At 48.7% G+C, this 25,641-nt stretch overlaps 3 annotated features.

Moving 5' to 3' along the window:
• Window positions 6,599-7,100: an enhancer, noted in NCBI's record as "H3K4me1 hESC enhancer chr19:29538773-29539274 (GRCh37/hg19 assembly coordinates)". NCBI's record gives its function as "activates a minimal SCP1, AML or CMV promoter by ChIP-STARR-seq in naive H9 embryonic stem cells {active_cell/tissue: H9 hESC(naive)}" and the evidence as "EXISTENCE:reporter gene assay evidence [ECO:0000049][PMID:30033119]".
• Window positions 20,719-21,220: an enhancer, noted in NCBI's record as "NANOG-H3K27ac hESC enhancer chr19:29552893-29553394 (GRCh37/hg19 assembly coordinates)". NCBI's record gives its function as "activates a minimal SCP1, AML or CMV promoter by ChIP-STARR-seq in naive H9 embryonic stem cells {active_cell/tissue: H9 hESC(naive)}" and the evidence as "EXISTENCE:reporter gene assay evidence [ECO:0000049][PMID:30033119]".
• Window positions 21,221-21,720: an enhancer, noted in NCBI's record as "NANOG-H3K27ac hESC enhancer chr19:29553395-29553894 (GRCh37/hg19 assembly coordinates)". NCBI's record gives its function as "activates a minimal SCP1, AML or CMV promoter by ChIP-STARR-seq in naive H9 embryonic stem cells {active_cell/tissue: H9 hESC(naive)}" and the evidence as "EXISTENCE:reporter gene assay evidence [ECO:0000049][PMID:30033119]".

Consider the following 25,641-nt stretch of genomic DNA (forward strand, 5'->3'; position numbering starts at 1 on the left):
TTATTCCCAGATTAGAGCTTAGGCTTCCATTGCAAAAGTCCAGGGAGAAAGGTTGTGTCTCCTGTAAATGAGGAGGAGCAGCAGTGCGTATGGAGGAAGGAGGTGCACAAATCAGGCCGAAACAGGAAAACAACTAAGTTTTTACAACAGGAGGAGTTTAATGCAGCTAAATGGTTACAGAAATCATGTAAACCCAGAGATTAGTAAGAAAAGAAAGACACGACTTTCCCTGGGCCAGTGGGATCAAGGGAGGAGGCAGAGTTTGTGGGACCGAGGTCAGCCCTCTGAAACTCAGACCACAGGGACATCCCGTGCCAGAGCCAGAGCCACAGAAAAGACCAGCTGCTGCCAGAGAAGCTGCCCGAGACAGGGAGGAAGGGGAAGATACACCAGGCTTCTCGCATCCTGCAGTCTCCCCAGTGCATCTCATCGCTGTCCCCAACTGGAGGCAAAGGCGGAAGCCTGGGAAAAGCAGCCCATAGCAGTCAGATCCCTTGCTATGCAGAGCAGAGCAAAGGAAGGGCAACATATGAATCAGTGGGAAAACAGACACGGAAAGTGCAGCTCCCAGGACCTGGGGTGGCTGCCTAATGAAACACAATTCCTTCTGCCGCTGCACCCCTGCCATTCCCCATTTTTAGGAATGGCTGCTCCCTTCTGGCTTCCGCTCCTCAGCCCTGATCTAGCCATGAGCTCTGAAGAGGTATAAACGATCCTATTACAGGGCCGGGTGCGGTGGCACTTTGGGAGGCCGAGGTGGGTGGGTCACCTAAGGTAAGAAGTTGGAGACCAGTCTTGCCAACATGGTGAAACCTTGTCTCTACTAAAAATACAAAAATTAGCTGGTCATGGTGGTGCGTGCCTGTAATCCCAGTGACTTGAGAGGCTGTAACAGGAGAATCGCTTGAACCTGGGAGGCGGAGGTTGCAGTGAGCTGCGATCATACCACTGCACTCCAACCTGGAGTGCAAGACTCCGTCTCAAAAATAAAAATAAAAATAAAATCCTATTACAGCTGGGTGTGGTGGCTCATGCCTATAATCCCAGCACTTTGGAGGCTGAGGTGAGAGAATTGCTTGAGCCTAGAAGTTTGAGATTGGCCTGGCAACATAGTGAGACACCATCTCTATACACACACAAAAATTAGCTGGGTCATGTTGGCTTGTGCCTGTGGTCCCAGCTACTTTGGGGGCTGAGGTGGGAGGATCATCTCAGCCTGGGAGTTTGAGGCTGCAGTGAGCCATAATTACACCACTGAACTCCAGCCTGGGTGACAGTAAGACCCTGTCTACAAAAAATGGAAAAAAAAAAACAACTGATTCTATTGCATGATCTCATTCCCAGCCCTTTGTGATTGGACAAAAGATGGGCACATGACCTGGGTGGGCCAATCAGAGTCTTCTCTGGGATTTTTCACACTGGGGCGGGTGGAGAAGAGTCCTGTCTGCTCTGGTTGTGGAGTGGAAGGACAGGAGTCTGTACACCCCCATCCTTGACCTGTGATGGGAGGCAAAAGTGATTTAAGTAGATGGAACATAGCCAAAGTCCATGTGCAGAGGAAAGTGAAAGGAACGGGAGAAAGACAGAGAGGGGGACTAGAGACCCGATAGCTTCCTGTGCCCTGACTTTGGGAAGGGCCAAGGAGAGCTCCATCCTGCTCCTTCACAGTGTGGTTGCTGGAGCCTATAGATCACTCTTCTGGCTTAAAGTAGGATATCATTGTTCTGTCCCTGATAACTGCAACACAGAAACACTCAGAGCAAGTGGGAGAAAGAACACAGGGCCTGACATCATACTAAAACTTTCACTAAGAACAAACGGGGCTGAGAGGGCAAGGAAGGTCAGGCAGTCCAATTGCAAACAGGCACCAGCGAGCAGGTGGCTAGGATACCAATGTGCAGAGTCACAGTTTTCTCGAGGGTGTCAGAGGTTCAAATCCCAGCTTCCTTCCAGGCAGGGACGGCCAATGAGAAGTCAGCTGAAGTCATGGGACAGAACTTTCGGGAAAGTTCTGTCAAAGAGGAGAGGGGTTGATTGAGAGGACAGGCTCCTTTCTCTACACCCATCACTGCCAGACTCACCCCCCTCTCTCCCTTGCATCACACAGATTCATCGGAGAATCAGGAACCTGAGGGTCCTTGCCCAAGACAAGCAGAGCTGCCAGGAGGAGGGAGACAGGATCCTCCATGCCAGTGGAGCTGCATACAGCTCTGGCTGCTCACAGCTTTCATTACCTGAGGAAAAAATACGATGTTTTCATTCTTTTGTGTGTTTTTCTGTTATTTTGTTTTATTTAAGCCACTAATTTCCACGTCTTAACTATTCAGGGCTGATAGAATTCCTAATTGACAGAGGACCCACGTCTGCCTGCTGTGTTAGTCCGCTCATGTGGCTATGAAGGATGCCTGAGGCTGGGTGATTGATAAAGAAAAGAGGTTTAATTGGCTCATGATTCCGCGGGCTGTACAAGCAGCACAGCACCAGCTTCTGCCCAGCTCCTGGTGAGGCCTCAAGAAGCTTCTCCTCATGGCAGAAGGCAGAGGGGAGCAGGCCTCACATGGTGTGAGAGGGAGCAGAGAGAGAGGAGGAGTGTCAGGCTTTCTAACAACCAGCTCTCCCACAAACTAATCACCAGGAGGATGGCACCAAGCCATCCATGAGGGATCCACCCCCATGACCCAACGCCTCCCACCAGGCCCAACCTCCCACACTGGGGACCACATTTCAACATGAGATTTGGAGGGAACAAAGCATCCCAACCATGGCAGGTGACTTTTTGTGAGATGCCTTTTTCTCAAATGAAAATCTTTGCTTTCAGGATCTCCATAAGAGATCCTTCTCCTAGGAGAAGGCCACGTCTTCTTTATGCCAAGGGTGAGCCCAGTGAGGATGAAAACCCCACTTGAACTGTGGTTCATGGGCCAGGGCCACGAGCTAGCAAGGGACACCCAGCCGGAGAAGCCTGGAGGCCTGCAGGACCCGCAGAGGGGCTCATGCTGGGGAAGTGATGTGCACGGGATCCTCCAGCTCTGAGAGACAGAAAGCATCCAGAGGCACTCCTGCATGTTCACTGCAGTCCCAAATCAGCTCCCTTGCCTCTCTAATCCCAAACCTGGCCAAGGGACTATGGGGGGTTCTTTGACTAATCCACTGTATCATTAGCTCCTTCCTTTCTGCGCTGGTTAATTTTATGTGTCTGCTTGACTGCTGTGGGGTGCCAAGACATTTGGTTTTATTAAACATTATTCTGGGTGTGTCTATGAATGCATTAGTCTGTTTTCACACCACTGATAAAGACATACCCCACGCTGAGTAATTTCTAAAGAAAAAGAGGTTTAATGGACTCACAGTTCCACGTGGCTGGAGAGGCCTCACAATCATGGCAGAAGGCAAAAGGCATGTCTTACATGGTGGCAGAGAAGAAAGAATGAGAGCCAAGCGAAAGTGAAAACCCCTTATCAAACCGTCAGATCTCATGAGACTTAATCACTAGCACGAGAACAGTATGGGGTAAACTGCCCCAAAATTCAATTATCTCCCACTGGGTCCCTCCCACAACATGTGGGAATTCGGAGAGCTACAATTCAAGATGAGATTTGGGTGGGGACACAGCCAAACCATATCAATGAGGGTGTTTCTAGATGAGATTCACATCAAAATGGATAGACAGGATAAAGCAGAGTTACTCAATGCGGCGGCAGTGGTCAGACGTGGGGGGTGCGGTGGGGGCAGGGCTCATGCAATTTGTTAAAGGCCTAAATACAATAAAAGGCTGAGTGAGAAAATATTCTTTCTCTCTGTCTGACTGTCTTAGAGCTGGGATGTCTGTTGTATCCTGCCCTTGGACTTGCATTTGGACTGAAACTGATACCATCTGCTCTCCTAGTTCTCAGGCCCTTGGACTCACACTAGAGCTAAACCATTGGCTCTGTTGGGTCTCCAGCTTGATAGCTGTAGGACTTGGACTTCTCAGCCTTTATAATCTGAGCCAATTCCTTATAGTAAATCTGAGCCAATAGTAAACAGGAGCTGATTCCCTATAGTAAATCTCTTTGTATATCCACGTGTCTACACCTATATCTATATTTATTTCTATGCTACTGGTTCCATTACTCTGGAGAAGCCAGGCTAATACACTCCCCAAGACAAAGGCCCAGATCAAAGGAGAATGGGGGCAGCACTCCCAGCAGAGCTCAGGCTGCTGCTTTTTACCAAGACCCCTGCCTTCAAAGAATCTGATCTTCAAATCTCACTGAGGGCTGAGGGTGTCGGAATTATTCACACAAGGGCATATCTTTCCAGTCTCACAAGGATTCAGACTTCTTATGTTTATTAAGACAAAAATCCTTTAAAAATAATAGTCTGTTAAGATTTGCTTCCAGTGCTCTGTTCCCCAGTGATGGCCCTAAAGACGTGCAGTAGAGAGAGAGGATCCTACAGGAAGATTCAGGGAACCAAAGATTGTCGCTGAAAGACCAGGCCCAGCTGGGAGCAGTTTTAATGCTTCTGTTTACAAGAAGGAACGAAGTTCAGAAAAGTTGCTTTTCTGTGCAAAAATGTCAGTGACTGTGAGCTCAGATGCAGGGGAGTGCAAAGTGGTTAATCAGTGTCACATAAAAATAACAAAGACCCCTGGGGGCCCTTAACTCAAATTTTGCAAGTCATGCAGGATGAATGGAGAATTCTTCCTGGGCCTTTTTTAAAAAATCTGTTTTTAGTAGTGGGGAGGGGACAGTGGATGGGCAGGAAGAAGATTAATTATCTGTGATGAACAGATTGGCGAGGCCGGGATTCTTCCAACAGAACAAGCCTCATTCATGGGGTCCCTCGGAGGTCATCCTCCCAGTGCTCTCAGTGTGGGGGTGTGGGGTTTTCCACCTGCCCACCTCTAGGAGCTGAATGCTTCATGCAGAAAGCCAACACTTTAGCCCAGGGTCACCCCATGGCCGAGGACAGAGCCCCAGGCATCAGGGCTCTACATGAAGCAGACTGCCCCCCACCCCCACCATTTTCCCTTAGACATCTATGGTGTTGAATGTCACAGCATGAGCCTGTGCTGCTCCAGAAGATCACATGCCACCTGGGTGTCTGCCAGTGGACCTGGGCAGCCCACCCTCTGCTAGCACCTTGCCTGATCAGTCTTCCTGAGGGCTTTCTAGAAGGGGTCACATAGGAGCCAGACATGAAGCAAGGCTTGGTGGCAAGGCCCATTGTCCAGCAGCCCCTGCCTTGTCCCTCAGCTCCGAGGTGTCTGTAATATTGTGGGACTGCTCCAGGCATGGGTTCAACCTTATGGCACAAAGCCTATAAGCCTCAGGGCACTCCACGCAGGACTAGGTTTCCCAGGGAACAGGCTCTGAGATGGAGAGAAGCAGTCACGATGCTTACTAGAAGATGCTATTGGGATCAATATCTGTTGGATGCAGGGGAAAGAAGCAGGATTAGGCAGAGGGAGAGGGAGATATCCGGCTGGGATTGGGACCAACAAAGACTGCAGCCGCCTTGCAGGGAGCTTTGGAGCTTCAGTGGCCCTGCAGAGATGCTCCTGATGGGGGAGGGGCTGAAACTTTATAGCCTTCATTGACCAGTTATTGGGAAGCCTATGTCACCTTGGGTGTGGCTTTTTTTTTTCTTTTTCTGTAATTTTTATTTATTTATTTATTTAAGAGACAGAGTCTCGCTGTGTCACCTGGGCTGGAGTGCAGTGATGCGATCATAGCTCACTGCAGCCTCTACCTCCTGAGCTCAAGTCATCCTCCTGGCTCAGCTTCCTGAGTAGCTGGGACTACAGATGCACATCACTACACCTGGATAATTTATTTATCGATGTATTTTTTAGAGACGGGGTCTTGCTATGTTGCCTAGGCTGGTCTTGAACTCCTGAGCTCAAGCGATCCTTCTTCCTCAGGCTCCCAAAGTCCTAGGATTACAAGTGTGAGCCACTGCACCTGGCTGAGGCTGTTTTCTTCAGCAAAAATACTATACAAAGCACAGCTGAGGGCCATCTTCTGCTGTCCTCCAACAGCTTGGGAATAAATCCTTGGCTGTTGAAAGGGGTCTGGGTTGCATATACAGTGTCCCCTCACCCTCCCTAGGCCCTAGCTCCAGGAATTCTGTGAATGCTCTCTTGGGCTCCAGCTCTAGGCCCAGGAGTCCTCTGCCACAATGACCATACTCTAAGCTTGAGCTAAAACACGTAAGATAAACCATACTTTACCAAAGGTGGGATTGTGATGAAAGAAGGAGAAGAGGACACTAGCTGTGAAAGGAAAGCTGGATGTTCTAAAGGCAAACATTGTCCTGCCCAGGGGCCTTTCTACTTTTCATTTTTATTTTACTTTATTTTTCTCTTATTTTTATTTTATTTTATTTTATTTTGGGATGGAGTCTTGCGCTGTCGCCCAGGCTAGGGGTGCAGTGGCACGATCTCAGCTCACTGCAACCTCTGCTTCCCGGGTTCAAGCGATTCTCCTGCCTCAGCCTCCTGAGTAGCTGGGACTACAGGCTTGCACCACCACGCCTGGCTAATTTTTGTATTTTTCATAGAGACGGGGTTTTGCCATGTTGACCAGGCTGGTCTCGAACTCCTGATCTCAGGTGATCTGCCTGCCTCAGCCTCCCAAAATGTTAGGATTACAGGCACGAGCCACCGCACCCAACCTTATTTTACTTTATTTTTAATGCACCTAACTAACAGTGAAACAGATAAAGTCTTGAGTCCACGGGTCAGTCTGGGTGAGACTTGCCCACTCTCTCGACATTTCACCTTCTTTCATGGCAACATTCTGGTGGACAAACCTCACATTAGACATACGCTAAGGCTTCAACCCTGAGCATAGCCCATTCTCCAAAATCAGCCCCACCCACTGACCCCACTGGGTATGCGATCGCCTGTGTGACCTCCTAGCAATGAGTGATTGGATGAGAGGCGAGCGCTGGCCTCACAGGCATGTGAGCTGGGTTAGTCCATCCCCTCTGCTACAATCCACAAGGGGCTGGTGAAGACTGGGTCACTTGGCAGTGGGACCCGCAGCAGAACAGTAATGACCTAGAAAGGACCCAGCACAGGCCACCGCTTGGGGTACGAGTGAGCAGAGGAGCATCCCAGCAGAGAAAAGGAAGCTTAAGTTCACAGCCGGCTGGCAAGGCGGGAAAGCTGGGAGCAGCAGCTGCTGACCAGCCAGCTTCCTGGACACAGGTGCCTGGCACTGAGCTCTCCAAGAAACTTGCCCTCATGGGAGGTGGCCAGGGTGGGCAAAGGGTGAATTCTGGCTGACGGGACTTGAGGAATTGCCAGGGGCTTCAGATAATCATTTCTTCTTTGGTTAAAAAAGAAAGACAGCTGTGTCCTTTAGTCCTTCCTGCTTGTAGATACAGAATATTCAGATCTCCAGTAGCCATTCTGCAACCATGAGGCGAGATGGAGAGAACCCCAAGGAATGAATTTGGCAGACTCCGAGCTTCTAAAATCCCACAAACATCCTGCTTTTATATTTACCACCCTAATAGAAAAGCGCAGTCCTGTCACTGAAGTCACTGCCATCCCAGGAGCCTTGACTTACAACCAAATACTTCCTCGCAGAACAGGAGCAAGGATGGCTACCAGGGACAGCAATAAGCGCAGTTTCAGGAGCCCCATCCTCGAGTCGGTTTCATGGGGAGAATGTCAAAGAAGGGCTGGTGCAGAAGCATGTTCAGCAGTTTCCTCAGGCTGCCACGGCAGATACATACCACAAACCAGACACTTGGACAAATATATTCTCTTATAGCCCCAGAGACCAGGAGTCCAAAATCCACAGGTGTCAGCTGGGCCATGCTCCCTTTGAAGGTTCCAGGGGAGAATCCCTGGCCTCTTCCAGCTCCTGGGGGCCCCAGGCATTCCTTGGCCTGTGGAAACATCACTTGAGTCTGGGCCTCTGTCTTCACATGGCCTTCTCGTGTATGTGTGTGTGTTTGTGTGTGTGTGTGTGTGTGTGTGTGTGTGTCCTCTTCTTAGAAGGACACCAGCCATTGGATTTTGGGCCCACCCTAATCCAGTATGACCTCATCTTAATTAACGTGCAGACCCTATTTCTAAGTAAAGTCACATTCTGAGGTTCGTGGTGGATATGAATTTTGGGGGATACTATTCAACTCTCCAAACATGGATGACTATTTCCAGGTCAGTGTGAGGCCCACTGCTGGTATTTTCTAAATCACTCAGAGAAGAAAGTTTTCAGAGAACCGAGGTCCTGCCAGGAGCCAGTGAGGTCTGAATTACTGTTGTTTAGAAAACCAGAAAACCTGCTCTGACCAGAGTGCTCTGAGTCCTGGAGAAACGCAGGTGCCTGCAGCATTGAGCGCAACGCAGGTGTGTTTTCAGGACTAATGAATACCTGCAAATGCCACCAAGATCTTGGAGACATAATTTCTGCTCAGTCACACAAGAAAACCAGACTGCAAAAGGAACAGGGCCTCGAGGCATTAAGGGAGAGTTAATGGTACCAGGAGGTCTGCAAGGGTCGCTGTTGAATATCATTCTCAACGAGCTGGTGGGAATTCACATGTCTCAGGCACCGCACAGAACAGCCATGGGCTTGCCTCTCCTCTTTCCGAGCAGTGAAGAAGCAGAGGGGCCTTCAGGGAGACAGAGCTGCCTGGGGCCCATTGACATTAAATAGAAGAAAATTTGCATCTTGGCCGAAAGAAAACCACCATGCCTTAGGCTGTGAATAAAAGCACCCAGTCTGCACCCACACAATTTAGCAGCAGGTTGGAGACCCAAACGCCTAGAATTCCTTGGACTACTATGCAAGTGGCCCTGGCCAGAAGACATTGAAGAATGAGAGTTGGCTCAGGGCTTCAGAGGGTGTCAACCCATCATGACCATGCTCTTTTTACAAAAGGAAGACCCAAGACCAGCAGAGAGGAGGCGGTAGGCTGCGGTCATTGAGTCGGCCCACAGCAGAACCAAGTGGAGCTGGGACCATGTCTCTGCACTCGGGCCACAAGTTTCCCTTTGTGCATTTTTTTTTTTTTTGAGACAGAGTCTTGCTCTGTCCTCTAAACTGAAGTGCAGTGGTGCTCACCGTAGCCTCGGACTTTTGGGATCAAGCAATCTTCCCAAGGAGCTGGAAGTACAGGCACATGCCACCTTACACGGCTGATATGTTTATTTTCTGTAAAGACGGGGTCTTGCTATGTTGCCCAAGCTGGTCTGGAACTCCTGGCATCAAATGATCCTCCCGGCTCAGCCTCTCAAAATGCTGTGATTACAGACATGAGCCACCGCACCCAGCCTGTTTCCCTTCTGAAGGAAAGTGAGACATATCCAGCCCTGTAATATTCCTAGACTGGGTAACAGTCCTCACAGTCCTCTTTCTGTCCTGTAGAGATTTTCCCCAAAATAATGCCCAGGAGCTTCCTGACTATCTGCCAACTGTCACTCTTGTCATTTGAGGCCCGGGGATTTTGGGGACGTTTCTGAGGTTCACTGTCACTTTCCCATGGCCTGCACAGCCAAAATGCAAACATAGCCAAAGCCAGAAGCCAAGGATATAGTGACAGGACGTTCTCACCAGGGACGTACCTGAGCAAATGACGTCCATCAGCCCAGCTCACAGAGACGCCTGAGGCTCAATTTTGTCCGGAGCCCAGAGAAAGGCTGGGTCTTGAGGGGCAGTGCCTGTTGGGTGGGAGCGCCTCATCCAGCTTTCTCATTTCAGGTGGGTAATTCTGAGCCCAAGAGGAATCTGAAATTCAAGACAAAGCTTCCAAGAGCAATGCACTGTCTTCATTGTCTTCTTGACTCTTGATGGGATTATCTTATTTATTTTTGATGGGATTCACTGCCCAGAGTGTTAGAAATAGAAAATCAAAGACAGAGGTGTGAATCAGAGCCGTGCTGTGGTTTTCTTACTCGCCTGTGATCAGGTGTGTGCACCTAGATCACTAAATGGAACTGTGTCCCGCCCCACCGCTGCTGGCTCCCAGCCAGAAGCCTACATATCCCCAGGGCAGGACAGAGGTGGTACAGCTGGGGGCAACTGGCTAGATTCCTTACATATACCCTCACTGAGTATCAACCTCATAGGGAAACTGTGAGACTGAGTTTCCTTCTTTTAAAGTAAGGGAACAATGAGATCATACTTGCTCATAATTAACTCAACATTTGTTAATTAAGAAGCCAGACCTAAGCTACAGGGTGGGAAGAGACTGGGAAGTGAGAAACCAACTGGCCCTTGACTTTACAGAGCTTTGTTTTTTTTCAACTTTTATTTTAGATTCAAGGGGTATATGTGCAGGTTTGTTACATGAGTAAATTGGGTGTCACCGAGGTTTGGGGTACAAATGATCCCATCACCCAGGTATTAAGCATAGTACTCAATAGGTAGTTTTTCAATCCTCACCCTCCTCCCCTCCACACCCTCAAGTAGGCCCTGGTGTCTGATGCTGCCATCTCTGTGTCCACATGCGCTCACTGTGTAACTCCCACTTATAAGAGAAAACATGTGGTCTTGGGTTTTCTGTTTCTGTATTAATTTGCTGAGGATAATGACCTCCAGCTGCATCCATGTGTCTGGAAAGGACATGATTTCATGCTTTTATATGGTTGTGTAGTATTCCATGGTGATATGTACCATATTTTCTTCATCCAGCTCACTGCTGATTGGCACCTGGGTTGATTCCATGTCTTTGCTATTGTGAATAGTGCTATGATGAAGAAACTAGTGCATGTGTCTTTAGGGTGGAAGGATTTGTTTTCTTTTCAATTATATACCTAGTAATAGGATTGCTGGGAAGAATGGCAGTGCCAAGTTCCTTGAGAAATCTCCAAACAGCTCTTCACCATGGCTGAACTAATTTACATTCCCACCAGCAGTATATAAGCATTCCCTTTTCTCCATAGCCTCGCCAGCATCTGTTATTTTTTTACTTTGTTTACAGAGCTTTTGCATAAGAGAGAGATAGGATACAATCACAATAGCAAATGGGAAATTGCAACTGTGGTCAGGGCCATGACAGAGAGGAAGATTAGCAACTTCTTCTACAAGAGGCCCATGTGTGATGTGACCCAGTCAAGGAAGTCAAAGTGACCTTCAAGTTGAAGCAGGAATGGTGAGTTAGAGATTACTTGGCAAGGAAGGAAGGGAAGGACACTCCAAGCAAAGGAACAGCAAGGCTCGGGAGGATGCGGTAAGTGCAAAGATGGATGCAGGGCAGTGGGGCTGGGGGGCAGGGGTCGGTTGGTGGGCGAGATGGCCAAGGTGAGCGGCTCTGTCCATGCAGGCAGCAATGGAAAGCGATGGAAACCTCATGAGTAGATATTGATCCGATTGGCTCATGCTTCGAAATAAATAAAGCAAAAGAAATGTTGGGGGTGAGGGCAGCACACAGGGCCTGCAAGGAGGCTCTGTTGATGGTCCAGGTGACAGAGAACTTGAAATGCAGGATCACACAGGTAGTAGGAGCCAAAGCCTGGACTCAAGCTACAGCCTAGGACCACTTATCCACTGCTGATGGGAACGCACATCGGCTCAGCCAGCAGTTCACATATTTCTTAAAGAACTAAAAATCAAACTACCATCTGACCCAGCAATCTCATGACTGGTATAGACCTGAAGGAATATAAATCATCCTACCACAAAAGACACCTGCACTCATGTGTTTACCACAGCACCATTCACAACAGCAAAGGCATGGAATCAACCCATGTGCCTATCAATGGTGAGCTGGATAAAGAAATTGTGGTACATACACATCACGGAATACTATGCAGCCATAAAAAAAGAACAAAATCATGTCCTTTGCAGAAACATGGATGCAGCTGGAGGCCATTATCCTAAGAGGATTAACACAGAAATAGAAAAACAAACACTGCATGTTCTCACTGACAAGTGGGAGCTGAACATTGAACACACATGGACACAAAGATGGAAACAACAGACACTGGGGACACCCAGAGGAGAGAGAGAGAGAGAGGGAGAGGGCAGGGGCTGGAAAATCTACCTATTGGGTACTATGCTCACTAACTGGGTGATGGGATCAATCGTACCCCAAACCTCAGCATCACACAATACACTCATGTAACAAATGTACACAGGTACCCACCAAAGTTAAAATAAAAGTTGAAATAAAATTTAAATTAAAAACAAAGCCAAAGCTAGACCCACTGCACTCAGCCTCGTAGGTGAGTGTCTTAACCACATCAGGAACTCCTTGAGGCTTGCTTTGGAAAGAATCTCCAGGTGGGGCAGCTCATGCCTGTAATCCCAGCACTTCAGGAGGCTGAGGCAGGCGGATCATTTGAGGTCAGGAGTTTGCGACCACCCTGGCCAACATGGTGAAAGGCTGTCTCTACTAAAAATAAAAAAATTAGCCAGGTGTGGTGGTGCACGCCTGTAATTCCAGCTACTCGGGAGGCTGAGGCGGGAGAATCACTTGAACCCAGGAGGTGGAGGTTGCAATGAGCTGAGATCGCACCACTGCACTCCAGCCTGGGTGACGGAGTGAGACTCTGTTTCAAAAAAACAAGAAGAAAGAAAGAAAAAAAAGGAAAACAAATCTCCAGCACTGTGCCCTGGAAGGGCTGTCCAAAGAATGACGTGTTTGTGCATCTCCAGGGTAGATCTCTGAAAGAAAGCATCCAATATCCAGGGTTTGACATTTCCCAACAGATAGCCTCAAGCTCCCAGTAAGGGCCTCCAGGACAGGCCCTCTGGGGCGTCGGTGCTCCCCTGCTCTCCTGGGAAGATGATGCTGAAGTTCAGCCTCAATAGCCCACTGCTCCTTCAGTCCTGCGAGGTGAAGACACAACTTCCACATACCACATTGTCTAGAGAAACAACTAAATTACTAGTTTTAAGCAAAACTGGAAATCAACACCTATCCCTAGGTTTCTGGAGCTAAATGGGCTCAGAGATGTGGATGACAGAGTACAAGTCAAAACTCCATGCTGTAAAATACTGCACGCTTTTTATAAATGTTAATTGGTTAGAGTATCATAATTTTTACACACATGTAAATAAGGTTAATGAATTTTATTCCACACAGATGATTTAAACTATAAAACAATCAAATTACTTTTCAGGTAATACTTTGGGCCCAAATGAAATAAAATTTCAAGTCATTATAACTTTAGAAAAAGAAACTAATTTGAATATGTGATTTAGATCCATTAAAAGTCTTCTCAACTTTAAATAGTGATAATAGAAATCAGAAAAGCTCGAGAGTGGTTAAGATTAATTAAGAGTGAATGCATTTGGGAAAAGGAAATTATGAGGCTATGATTTTAGAATGCAAATGAGGTCAAGAAGTTTAAACTAATGTGCATCTATATAAACACAGCCTCAATAAAGGAAAAATATTTCATTACAAGGGTTTATAAGTACTGTATTCTCTACTTCTTGTTACATGAGTAGCAACAAATTGATAAACAGCAACCTGTTGTCAGCTAATTACAGCACCCTTGTGGCTGCCAATAGTTAAGCTGGTACGAAATTAGAAATCTTGATTTTCAAAGTTCTATGCAGCCTGGTTTCTTTCCTTATGATGTAGGCAGTGCTGGTGACCCACTCAATCCTTTGAATCCTTTTGTAGTAGCCCATCTTCTATTTCGTGGGCTTGGTTACAAAAGGCCCCCACCTGCAAGGGTCTTCAGGCGCTTTCTCTTGGGCTACCAGAGCCACCTCCTCCAAGCAGACAGCCAGGAACGCCTGGAAGCTATGCTCCCCACCTCCACTCCTCATCCTGGTTAATCACTGGTATGAGCTTGCAAAGCCCACCTTCCTTGCCTTGAGGTGGCAGAAACTCGGGTATATTTAGACTCCAGAGCACAGGATCAGGCTATGTGTAGGACCTTGCCCTGAAATTGCAACACTGCAGCTGGACCTGTGTTAGGGTCCCTCGAAGTAGACCCTGAGAGGAGGATTTTTATGAAACTCTTTTACAGAGAACACTTTCTGATGAAATGTGTGCAGAAGTGGGGAAAGCAAGGAGGAGCAGTGAAGAGGCAGGCAAAGATGTAGTTTCCTCTGAAGTCTGGCCTCAGCCTGATCACAGAGGGTGCTCTGGGAAGGGAGGGGAGACAGTACCGTCCAGTTGTCCCACTTGAGGGTACGGGGTGCTCTTTCATATTCCCATATCAGTTAGCCCTTGGCTATGGGCCAATCCTGGGAAATATAAACTTTGTTAACCCAAGGTGATTCTCTAGAGAATGGTGAGTCACCAGCAGCCCAGACTCAGCAACCGAGGGATCTGCTCCCAGCTCAGTGAAGACAAGCTGGGCGCTCACGGCCTCTGCTCAGTGTTCCCCATTCCCGATCCTGCTCCTCTCTAGCCTGCCCTTTCTCTTTCCTCTCTCCTTGAAAACTCACTTGTACCTGAATCCCAGGCACAGCTTCAGAAAAACCCAACCTAGGACACCCTCCTGCTCTAAGGATCAAGAACTGCACTGCGTTTGATGCCACAGCTTTCCTTAACCTGAAAGCTGCTGTTATTTTTTTTCCTTTTTTGAGTCAGGGCCTCAGCCCACGCTGGAGTACAGTGGGGCAGTCACAGCTCACTGCAGTCTCAACCTCCTGGGCTCAAAGTATCCTCCCATCTCAGCTTCTTGAGAAGCTGGGACCACAGGTGCACCCCCACACCCAACTAATATTTATATCTGTAGAGATGGGGTCTCACTATGTTGCCCAGGCTGGTCTTGAACTCCTGGCCTCTAGTGATTCTCCTGCCCTGGCCTCCCAGCTTTCTGAGTCCATGTGAGGGAACAGCATTTGTAGGACGGGGCTCCTGCAGCTCCTTCCAGCCTAATATCCAGGTTCCATTCTTCTAGTAACAGTGACCTGATTTTTCTCTGTGGAACCAGACTTCTGTCAATCTAAAAAGTTTGTGAGCATACAGACACACACACACACACACACACACACACACACACACACACACACACACACACTCTTCAGAAGGGCATTTGGCCTAGGCCTGGCCAATAAGAAGTGAGGGGTTGGCTCTGGGATAGGCGTGTGATCCAAGCTGAGCCTCTGCCCTGGGAATGCTGCTGGAATCCTTGAGGAGGTGGTGCTCGCACATCTCAAGAGGCAGCCGAGCGCCACCTGGCCACAAACAGGTAGACTCTGCCCAAGGTTGAGGCAATCACAGAAGAAAGCAAAGCCGAGTAGCAGAGTGTGAAGGTGCATGGCAGCCTCATGGGAGCCTGGAGCAGTCTCTAGCCCTCTGAGTTGTGGGAGCCAATTCAGTCCCTTCAGCTGTGGGAGCTGCTCAGGCCACCTGGAGATGAGTTTCAGTCACTCGCAACCAGGTGGCCCTCCCCTGACTAAGATCCCTGAGAAGGATCTGGTGAAAACCCGCTCTTAGGAAATTGTCTGTTCCTGAGATGTGTGCTGTAGCATTAGAAGTATGTGCTAGCATACTTCTGGAGTCCTGGCAACTCACATGACCTGGATCAAGGTCTTTTTTTCTTGGCCTCAGTTCTCCTGTCATATTACGGGAGTGTTTGGACTGTGTATATCCTAGGAGTCAAGTCCTCAGTCCAGGACTCTATCCTTTATGAGCACACGCCAGGTGCTGGGCTCTCCCGTCCAACCCTCCAGGCCCCCAACACTGTGAGCTCTGAGGCTGAGCTTTCTTCACAAGGGCAAAATCCTCCCCATACTTCTGGCCCCACCTCCAGGGACCTGTCTTGGGAGAGATTTGGGGCCCAGCCTAGATGAACAGATCCAAGAGCTGGGGCCACTCCTTGGCAGTCCTCTGTCTGCTGGAGTCACCCTTGTGCTTTTTGTGGGAGCACGACTCTCATTCATCATTTCACCCTCCACTTCATGAAGCCAGCCCAGGGGCTCTCCCAGGGCCGCGTAGCCCCGTGCATGGAAACAGTCCTGGCAGGGAGGGGCTGGGTTTGAATTCTGGCTTCTGTACAGAGATGTGCAATCGATTTCTTCAACTTTTCAAGCCTCGATTTCCTCATCTACTCAGTGAGAATAATGAACATTAGATGTGAGTGTCTTAGGTTGGGTTGGGTTGAACTTTCTCAGGGTTACATAACTTACTGTAGCGGATGCTGTCAGACTCTGCCCATAGTTCCTTGGGTCTCTTTACCAGACCCCTGTCCTCGCACTCACCCCGAGCCAGAAGGGGTGTGTCTTAGTTGGAAGGTTGACCTTAAACTTCCGGAATCTACTTTGTGTGCCTTTAAGGAAGAGCCAGAAATACCTGGACATGTGCACCCCCTCAACCCCACCCCAGCCAACACTTACCCAATGCCAGACGGTGTCTGCATATACAGGGGTATAAACACACCAGGCCTCTTGCCCTGGGTGTGGGCAGCCCTGAGATCCAATGCAGTCTCCAAAGTCATCCACTGTGAGACTTGGCTTCATACCACATCCTTGCTGGGTCTCCCTTTCTTCCCAGCCCCACTTTCTACTTCCCTCCTGGATATTCCTGCGGACAGCTCCCACTAGGGAATCCTCACAAGCACTGTCTTCTCTGGAATGGGGAAACAGTCTTAGGTGCTCCCATCTGATGTGTAATGGAGTGCCCTACCCATCACACCTGTTCAAGCAGTGGCTGCTGCCATGGCTGGTACAGTCCAGTGCTGGCATGCATACACACAGTGCACAAATCCCTGGGGGGGGTAGACACACACGCATGCCAACACACGCACACACACACACAGTGTTCATTCCTGGTGGAGACAAGATGGCGAGCACACCTGAGATGCAGTGTAGTGATCCTCCTCTAAGTCATGTCTGAGAGCCCCATGGAAACAACACGACCGTGAAGCTAATGCAAGAACCAAATCCCTCTCACTTTAAGAAACCTATCCTCAGCCAAGTGCGGTGGCTCACGCCTGTAATCCCAACACTTTGGGAGGCCGGGGCAGGTGGATCAGAAGGTCAGGAGTTCAAGACCAACCTGGTCAACATGGTGAAACCCCATCTCTACTAAAAAATACAAAAATTAGCCAGGTATGTTGGCAAGAGCCTGTCATCCCAGCTACTCGGGAGGCTGAGGCAGGATAATTGCTTGAACCCGGGAGGTGGAGGTTGCAGTGAGCCAGGATGGCACCACTGCACTCCAGCCTGGGCAGCAGAGCAAGACCCTGTCTGAAAAAAAAAGAAAAGAAGAGAAACCTATCCTCAGGCATGTAATGAAATGGCCTAGGGCAGTTCTTCACAGCACCTGGTAGCAGCAGCCCCTCCATGTGTCTATGAGATGCTTAATCAGACAGCACAGTCATCTGTCACATTTCTATTTCCCTTTATTTTCCAGAACCCTATTAGAAAGGTCAGGCAGGATAGAAACAGGGTTAAGGAGAGCCATGAGGAGGCCTGGAGGATATTCAGTGGAGACAAGGACCTCCCAAGGCTTGAAAGCATCAAGAGGCCACCAGGCAGGGGTCAGCAGGTGCTGGTTGCTTTGAGCACCCCAAGCCCCAGCCTGGATATGTGTGTCAGGGGCTGGTGGGGAAGCTGCCGTGCAGGCGGGACTCCCATGGGAAGGCACCTGGGGGAGTCACTCTGCCTCTCAACCCCTGGTCAAATGAAGGCTGGAGTGCAGAGATCCACTGTGTCTAGGACACCTGCTTCAGAGGGACACTAACGCCAAAGGAAACAGTTGAGAGAGAGTGAAATGGGAGGGAGGATTTACAATGTGATTTAAGCGCCTGGATTCAGTCACACCTGAAACCCAGAACTTCTTGATTTCTAGGCCAGTTCGTTCTCTTTGTAGCTTCAGCCAGTTGAAGCAAGACCTTGTCACTTTCAACAGTGATTGTGGGTGAATGATATAGTGATTGGAGGCCCAGAGCTTTGTGTGGGCACGAGTGGAGCCCTAGGCCCCCGATCACCACACCTAGGGCTTATGCTTTTGTGCCTTAGCCCATACCTGGTACCTATAACTTGAGATACCTGAAGATATGCCACTTCCTCCAGACCCACAGATACCCTTCAATATGCTGCCCCAAATCTCACCCCCAACTGAGGAGTACATCCTGACAGTAAACATTCTTTTTCTTTTCTTTTTCTCTCTTTCCTTCTTTCTTTCTTTCTTTTTTTTTTTTTTTTTTTTGAGACAGAGTCTTGCTCTTTTTGCCCAGGTTGGAGTGCAATGGCATGATCTCGGCTCAATGCAACCTCCGCCTCCTGGGTTCAAGTGATTCTCCTGCCTCAGCCTCCTGAGTAGCTGGGATTACAGGCACGTGCCACCACATCTGGCTAATTTTTTATTTTTAGTAGAAACAAGGTTTCACCATGTTGGCCAGGCTGGTTTTGAACCTGACAGTAAACATTCTAACCCAAGCTCCTGAGTCCTGCCCTTAGCGCACATTTGCAATGGGAGCAGGAGGCGAATTAGATTAGACCAGGCTGAGCTGGGAGAGTAAATAACTCTAAAATGCCATGGCTTCAACCACATTCATTTCTCATCCCTGCAAAGTCCACTGTGAATCTAGGTGACTCTCTGGCCATCCTCCTCCATGTAGTGACTCAGTGATCCAGGCTGCCCTCATCTGGTGACCCCACCATCTCAACGCCAGGCCTCCGCAGTTGCTGCAGCAGGAGAAACACTCGGGTGGGTCCCTCACAGCACTCTTCTAAGCTTCAGCTCAGGCCCTGCCCACATCGATTAGCCAAAAGTCATCCCGAGACCCTGCCCAACTGGGAAGGGGATTTAGAAGTGTGCCTTTCTTGAGAGAAACTAGCTGTGGGCAGCCAGGGTGATGTCCCCCCACAGCAGGTACAGGAATGCAGTGTGATGCTGAAGGGCCAGCCTGGCTGTTGAGAGGGTCAGCAAGAATGGGAGACTGGAGAAGGGAGGGGCACACTCTTCACTCCTGCTCAGAGCCCGTCACTGCACAGGCTAGGGACTGGTGCAGCCACGGCTGTGAGTTTGGGGTTTGCTGCTTGGATTTTAAAACTGCTCCAACCAGCTGCCATGTTTGTTAGAGATTGCCATTGCATGTATGAGAAACTCAAGCAGCTCAGCCTCATAGAGTTTGTTTGTTTGTTTTCTAGTGGGCCAGGAAATCTAGGGAGGCAGCTAGGGGCTGACATGGCGACTCTGAGATGCTACCCAGACCCCAGGCTTCTGGGCTGTCCAGCCCACCGTCTCTAGCTTGTGCTTTTGTTCTCAAGGCCACCTCATCATTACAGGTGTTCCCTGGCCACTCCACCTCAGACAAGAAGACAGAAGGACACAGAAGGACCTAGAAGGGAGGAATGCTACCTGGGTCGGGAAGTAAAACTTTCTCAGGTGTCCCCAGCAGGCCTCTGCCCATGTTCCGTTGGCCAGGGCACTGGGGGCCTGGGAAGCACCGTGTTTAGGTGAGCACGTTTCTGCCTTGATGAATTTGCAATTCTATTATCAAGCAAGACAGGAGAATCGATATTAGGTGGGTGAATGAACAAACTATTAAATAACAGGCAGCTTCCTACAAAACATTGAGTTTCTATTGGCTCTTTTGAAGATTGAATTCTTAGCATACAAGGCCTGCATTTCTTAATGGCAAAGTCTCAGGGGATGAGTTTGGACTTCTCCCCTTAGGAGGTTATGCCCCCAGCATTTTCTTGTCTGTTGGTGTCTACTTATATTACACTCAGTCCACCTTACCCAGGGCTGGCTTCACACAGTGTGACCTGTGTGATATCATAGTGTTCCACGCTTGGTTTGCCTCTGTGGCTCCTGGGGAACCAGAAAACACATGGACATGTAAGCAGACAGGGAGGGTCCCCCGGGATTACAGGAATTTAATCAACAGAGCCATCAGCCTGGTGCACAGCTTCCTGCCCTGCAGCCTGCTTCTCTTAATCCCTGTGAGAAATGTGGTCACCTACTTGGTTAAAACCAGCTCCTGACAGAGCTGGGCAACGTATAAATGAACCCAAGAGCTTTCCTCATGACTACTCCAGGAGGAGCCACAGTTTCATCACCATGACACGCGACCCATTTGCTGGCATGAACTCACTGCATCTGCACCAGGGGACACCCCCCCTCCATGCAATGGCGTGCCCTCTCCCCTCTCCATCATCCCACAAGACCCTGCTGTCCCTTTCCCTCAGGGACACACTGCTTGGGGAATACGCCCATGTCCTCCTTACTTGTGCCAAGTAATAAAACTCCTGTTGATCAACACCTGCCTTCTCATGGAGAGTCATTTGTTACTTGCCAGGTAAACTCCCGTTTCATCAGGGAATAGACTCAGGACCTGAGAGACCTGGATTCAGAATCCCAGCTTAGAGTCATTGGACAAGTTACTTAGAATCCTCTATTGGCCGGGCATGGTGGCTCACACCTATAATCCCAGCTCTTTGGGAGGCTGAGGTGGGATTACTCATCCCACCTCAGGAGGATTGCTTGAAGCCAGGAGTTTAAGATCAGCCTGGGCAACATAGTAAGACCCTGTCTCTACAAAATAAAAAATAATAATAAAAGGCTGAGTACATTGGCTCACACCTGTAATCCCAGCACTTTGGGAGACTGAGGTGGGCCGACTACCTGAGGTCAGGAGCTCGAGACCAGCCTGGCCAACATGCTGAAACCCCGTGTCTACTGAAAATACAAAAAATTAGCCGAGCATGGTGATGTGTGCCTGTAATCCCAGGTACTCAGGAGGCTGAAGCAGGAGAATCACTTGAACCCAGGAGGCGGAGGCCGCAGTGAGCCAAGACTGCACCACTGCACTCCAGCCTGGGTGACAGAGTAAGACTCCATCTCAAAAACAACAACAACGATGATAATAATTAATACAGAATCCTCTAATCTCAGTTTTCTCATCTGTTTAAAGAAATAAAACCACTTCTTCCTCAGGGGGCTATGGTGATCCTAGACAGAAAGGGCCCAGCCCAGCTATGTGTACCTGGAGTTTCCACGACAGTCCTGTCCATTATTAATGCAATTTCCATTTCTGTTGTAAAGACTGCTTCCACCACACCTGCCTAATGACAAAGCCTCACCTTCAAAGCTGGGGCATAAGGATGTCTGTGGCTGCTAGATCTGGAGTAGGGGCTCTCAGCCCCCTACTCTCATTTGAACAAGGCAGCAACCATGCTCACGGGATGCCAAGGAGAGAGACAAGTGAGGCTGGTGGCAGCTGGCCGAGAGGGTCCCCGTCCTACCTGGCCAGGCCAAGAAAGCTGTTGATGCATCCCAAGACCTAGCAAGACTTACTTTCTCAGTCACCTTGAAAGGAAGGACAAGCCTCCAAGTCGGCTCCTTGGGAGTGGAGAGAAGAAGTTTCCTCCACTCCACTGCTGAGAGTTACAAAAGGAGCCATTAGCACTTGCCAAGCAAGGCCACCTTCCATCTGAGGGAGAAAGTGCAAAAGACAGTTTAAAAGCCTCATTAACACAAGGCAACAAGTCACAGGTGAAAATTGAGCCTCTGAGGCCCTGCTGATTGCACGGGGGGGAAGGCATTTGCATCTCTTCTCACCACAGAGGGGTGGCAGCCAATTACCTCCAGGATTAGAAAAAAGTTGCAAACCTGAGTCTATCTTCACTGACGGGCTTGAATTCCCTGCCATGTGCCCCTCGCTAAAGCCTCCGCTTTGTGTATGAGAAAAAAAGCCTCTAAGACCTGTGGGAAAACATAAAATCTGGAAGCAAGTTCACCCGTGGCTGACCAGAAGCAGAAATGTTGCTTCCTTTGTGCAAGCCCTTCCTGGCTGGGCCAGAACATCAGCTAATGCAGCCTGGCACGTGGTCTGGCAGGATAGGCCCTGCCAATTAGAAATTCAAACACAATCAGTGTAATGCCTATGCTTTTGCTCCCTACAGGCCGTGCAGGAAACAGAAGCCCTGCGTGTCTGTGTCCCCTAAATAAATGACTCTGGTTCATTCACTGCCTCCTACCCACTCCCTTGCCAGCTGTTATGTGTGGGTTGTGGAGAAACCCCGCAGTGCCCTGCAGGGGCTTCTTCCTGCCCTTGGGGTCTATGGGAATGCTGGTTGCCTACATAGTGCACACTCAAATGTCTTCAGCGCCCAAGGCTGTCACTTTCTCAGCTCCCTGCCTACTCAGGTCTACGAAGTCAACTGCAAGGTTGTGGTCCATTCTTTCCACACCAACCCTGGCCACGGGACCTTAGCCCTTTCAGAACTCAGGGTGCTGAAATGTCTGAGAAGTTTCCCCAAGGAACGTCACCGAGCTGTCCCCTCCCCAACAACCTAGGGCAGCACAGGTCTCCATCCATTGCCCCTGAAGCCCCCAATGTCTCTTTCTCCCTCCCACCCTCAGGGAGGCTCACTGACCCCCGCTTAATTATGCCGTGTCCTCCGTTGAAGACCTCCTCAATGGGGAAGTGAGTACTGGCAGGGGAAGACCACAGTGGGGAATTTTAGGTGTGAAGTGTTCTATGAATACATCTTCATCTGGGCGGCGGCCACACAGACACAGGTGGGCATAAACATGAGGTACAATGGCTGGACACTCAGTATTCATGCACAGACATGTGTTACTGTGTGTGTGTGATACTTCAGTTTTAAAATTATGACACCCCACCCCAAAAAAATTAATTATCTTAGACCAAGCATGGCAAACAGCCAACATACAGTCCCTCAGAGTGGCAATTTCCTAAGTTCAACCAAGTATTTTTGGCCGGGTCTGAACTATGTGTGCTTTTAACAAAAATTTGTTTCCAACCTTTAAAATGGAAGATTTTACATAAAAATTTTGAATTTCTGGCTCCCACTAAAAGCCTAAGGGGCACTTGATCTCCAGTTGTAGCCATTTGGATTTGCAAGCTCTTTTTCAGTCATTAAAATACAAAATACAAAGACCCCAACCAGCTGCTGGAAAGGTATTGGGGCTACTTTCCAGGACTGCACTGGACAGGGGTGGGATGGGGAGGAGCTGGGCATAGGGAATGCTGTTGTAAATGCAGTTATTTTTTTAACCTTTTTTTCTGCTATATCAAGCAAAAACATTAAAGTAAAAAATACATATAATGTGTATACATATATATACATGCATACGTACCTATCTATCTATACATACATATTTTCCCCTTTCTTTCACTTAAATCTTCACTCACTAGTTCCTGTTTGATTATTTTTTTCTCCCTCTCATCCATTGCTATTAATTTCTGGCAGCAATTTATAAATGCCCCACTACTCTAAGAACCATTGAAATCACAGTTGGAAACCTCGATAATTTCACCAAGGCAGAAGCAATTAAATGCAAACATTGGCAAAAATTTTTAACGCTGCAGAAAATCACGAAAATGCCAAGGTAAGCTCATTGCTGCTGCAGATTTAATTCCTACTCTCCTTAAAAGCCAGAAATCACCTCTCTCCCCAGCAGGACCTGAACAAGCCTTAAACTAGGGCCATGTGAGGCCACATGAGGATGATTCTTCCCCCTCCCAAACCCAGCGTGGCAGAGAAGCAGGCAGCCCCGAGGGCATGAGAGATGGAAGCGTCCCCCTGATTTTTCTCATCCCATTCAAGTTCAGGACTGAAATGGACAGAACAATAGTTAACCCCACAGCCTGCAGCCTCTACCACTGATAACCAGGAAAACACAGCTACCTTATACACTTCTGCTCTGCGCTTTTCAAGGTCATTTTCTCACTAGGGCACTCACTGAAAGTCTAGAAGTTAGAAAAATGGGAAGGTTGAGGGACCCCTTTTTCATACACATAGAAAGACAGAGCTCAAGTTTAATCAGCAATTTGCCATTCAAAGTAGGATAAGAGCCAGGGTCTCCAGGCTTCTAATCTAACCCCACTGCTTCTTTCTTCTAGACCTACGACTCGTTCCAGCACCGTGGGGGCTGACACCCATCTCACTGCTGGATAAAAGAGAATGAGATCCTCTCTCCATCCTACGTTGGATTTGCTTGCTCACACAAACTGACCCTTAGGGACAGAATTGTTCAACTACAATTAGATTTAGTTAACTAATCCTGGAAGCGAAGCTTAGCATATCAGACAGGGTTCTGGCAGGAGACTCACTGCCCTCAGAAAGTTCACCCTCACAGGCTGCAACGCAGTGACTGTCTACAGCGATGGGGATGTGGCAGGGGCTAAGGAAGCCAACAAGAGATTGTCACCTTCTTAGAGGAGAAAGCCAAGATGGGGAGATATTAACCCCTATGCGTGAAAACATGAGGGGAGGAAGGAATGTTTAGCCCAGTGAGACTCAGAGGCACGAGTCAGCACCTATTACAGACGTGGTGCAGAAACATGGAGGACATGGAGAAGAAATATCCTGACCTTGTTCCACTTTCACCCTCCAATTCCCTGACAGTGGTTCCCATTGACTGAGCCCAGCTCGCAGTCACAGGCAGGGAGCAGGGGTCAATCTCCTGGTGCACAGGCAGGCTGAGGAGGGAATGAATGTAGGAAAGGGCTGGGGAGAGAAAATAAGTAGCATGCCTTACTTAAGAGCCTCAGGATCTTTATCTGTAAAATTGGATGATAACATCTACTTAATAGTGCAGTTCCGAGAATAAAAACTAAGATATCTAAGGCATGCAGCACTAAAAAGTATTGAAAATTGTAAACTTACTCTCCTCATCATCATGAGCTATGCTTCCCTTAAACAATGCTGTTCTGTTCCCAATATGAGGTATCCCGCAGATTAGAATGGCTGCATAATTGCTTATCCTCCAGGCCTCATTCCCCACAAAAGGACGGCATACTTTCTGGAGTATAGCATTCCTGAAAAGGGCCCCTCTAGACCATGTTTGATTAGTTTCAGTGATGGTGGACTAACTGCATCCCCATCTCTTCTGCCACCAAATCACTCAAAACTCAGAAAACTATTTCTGTATTATCAGGACAAAGCACTCCCTATGCATATTCTCCAAGGCTTCTGCACTCGGAGGTCACCAGGAAGAGATCTGCTCTGCTCTCTCATTCACTGGAGCCCTACAGATCTGGGAAAGCTTTGGGTTTTTTTTTGTTTTGTTTTGTTTTGTTTTGTTTGTTTGTTCGAGAGGGAGTCTCGCTCTGTTGCCCAGGCTGGAGTGCAATGGTGCAATCTTGGGTGACTGCAACCTCCGCCTCCCAGGTTCAAGCGATTTTCCTGCCTCAGCCTCCCATGTAGCTGGGATTACAGGCACCCACCACCACGCCCAACTAATTTTTGTATTTTTGGTAAAGACGGGGTTTCACCATGTTGGCCAGGCTGGTCGCGAACTCCGGACCTCAGCTGATCTGCCTGTCTTGGCCTCCCAAAGTGTTGGGATTACAAGTGTGAGCCACCAGGCCCATCCAGAAAGTTCTTAAGTTAGATCTATTCTTCACAAAAGAGAGGAAAGATTGGGGTTGGGGGTGGGAACCCAGCTCTTTATGCCAATTAATTAACGCACATTGAATGGACAGATTTCTTTTTCTTTTTCTTTCTTTCTTTTTTTTTTTTGAGATAGAGTCTTGCTCTGTCACCTGGGCTGGAGTGCAGTGGTGCAATCCCGGCTCACTGCTGCCTCCACCTCCCGGGTTCAAGCGATTGTCCTGCCTCAGCCTCCCAAGTAGCTGTGATTACAGGCACCTGCCACCATGCCCAGCTAATTTTTGAATTTTTTAGTAGAGATGGGGTTTCACCATGTTGGTCAGGCTGGACAGATTTCTAAAAGACACAACTACCAAACTACTACCACTACTAAAGCCCATTTTAGCAAGAAATAGATAACCTGAGATTAAAT

The sequence above is a fragment of the Homo sapiens genome, chromosome 19 (assembly GCF_000001405.40).
Source record: "Homo sapiens chromosome 19, GRCh38.p14 Primary Assembly".
Lineage (NCBI taxonomy): Eukaryota > Metazoa > Chordata > Mammalia > Primates > Hominidae > Homo > Homo sapiens.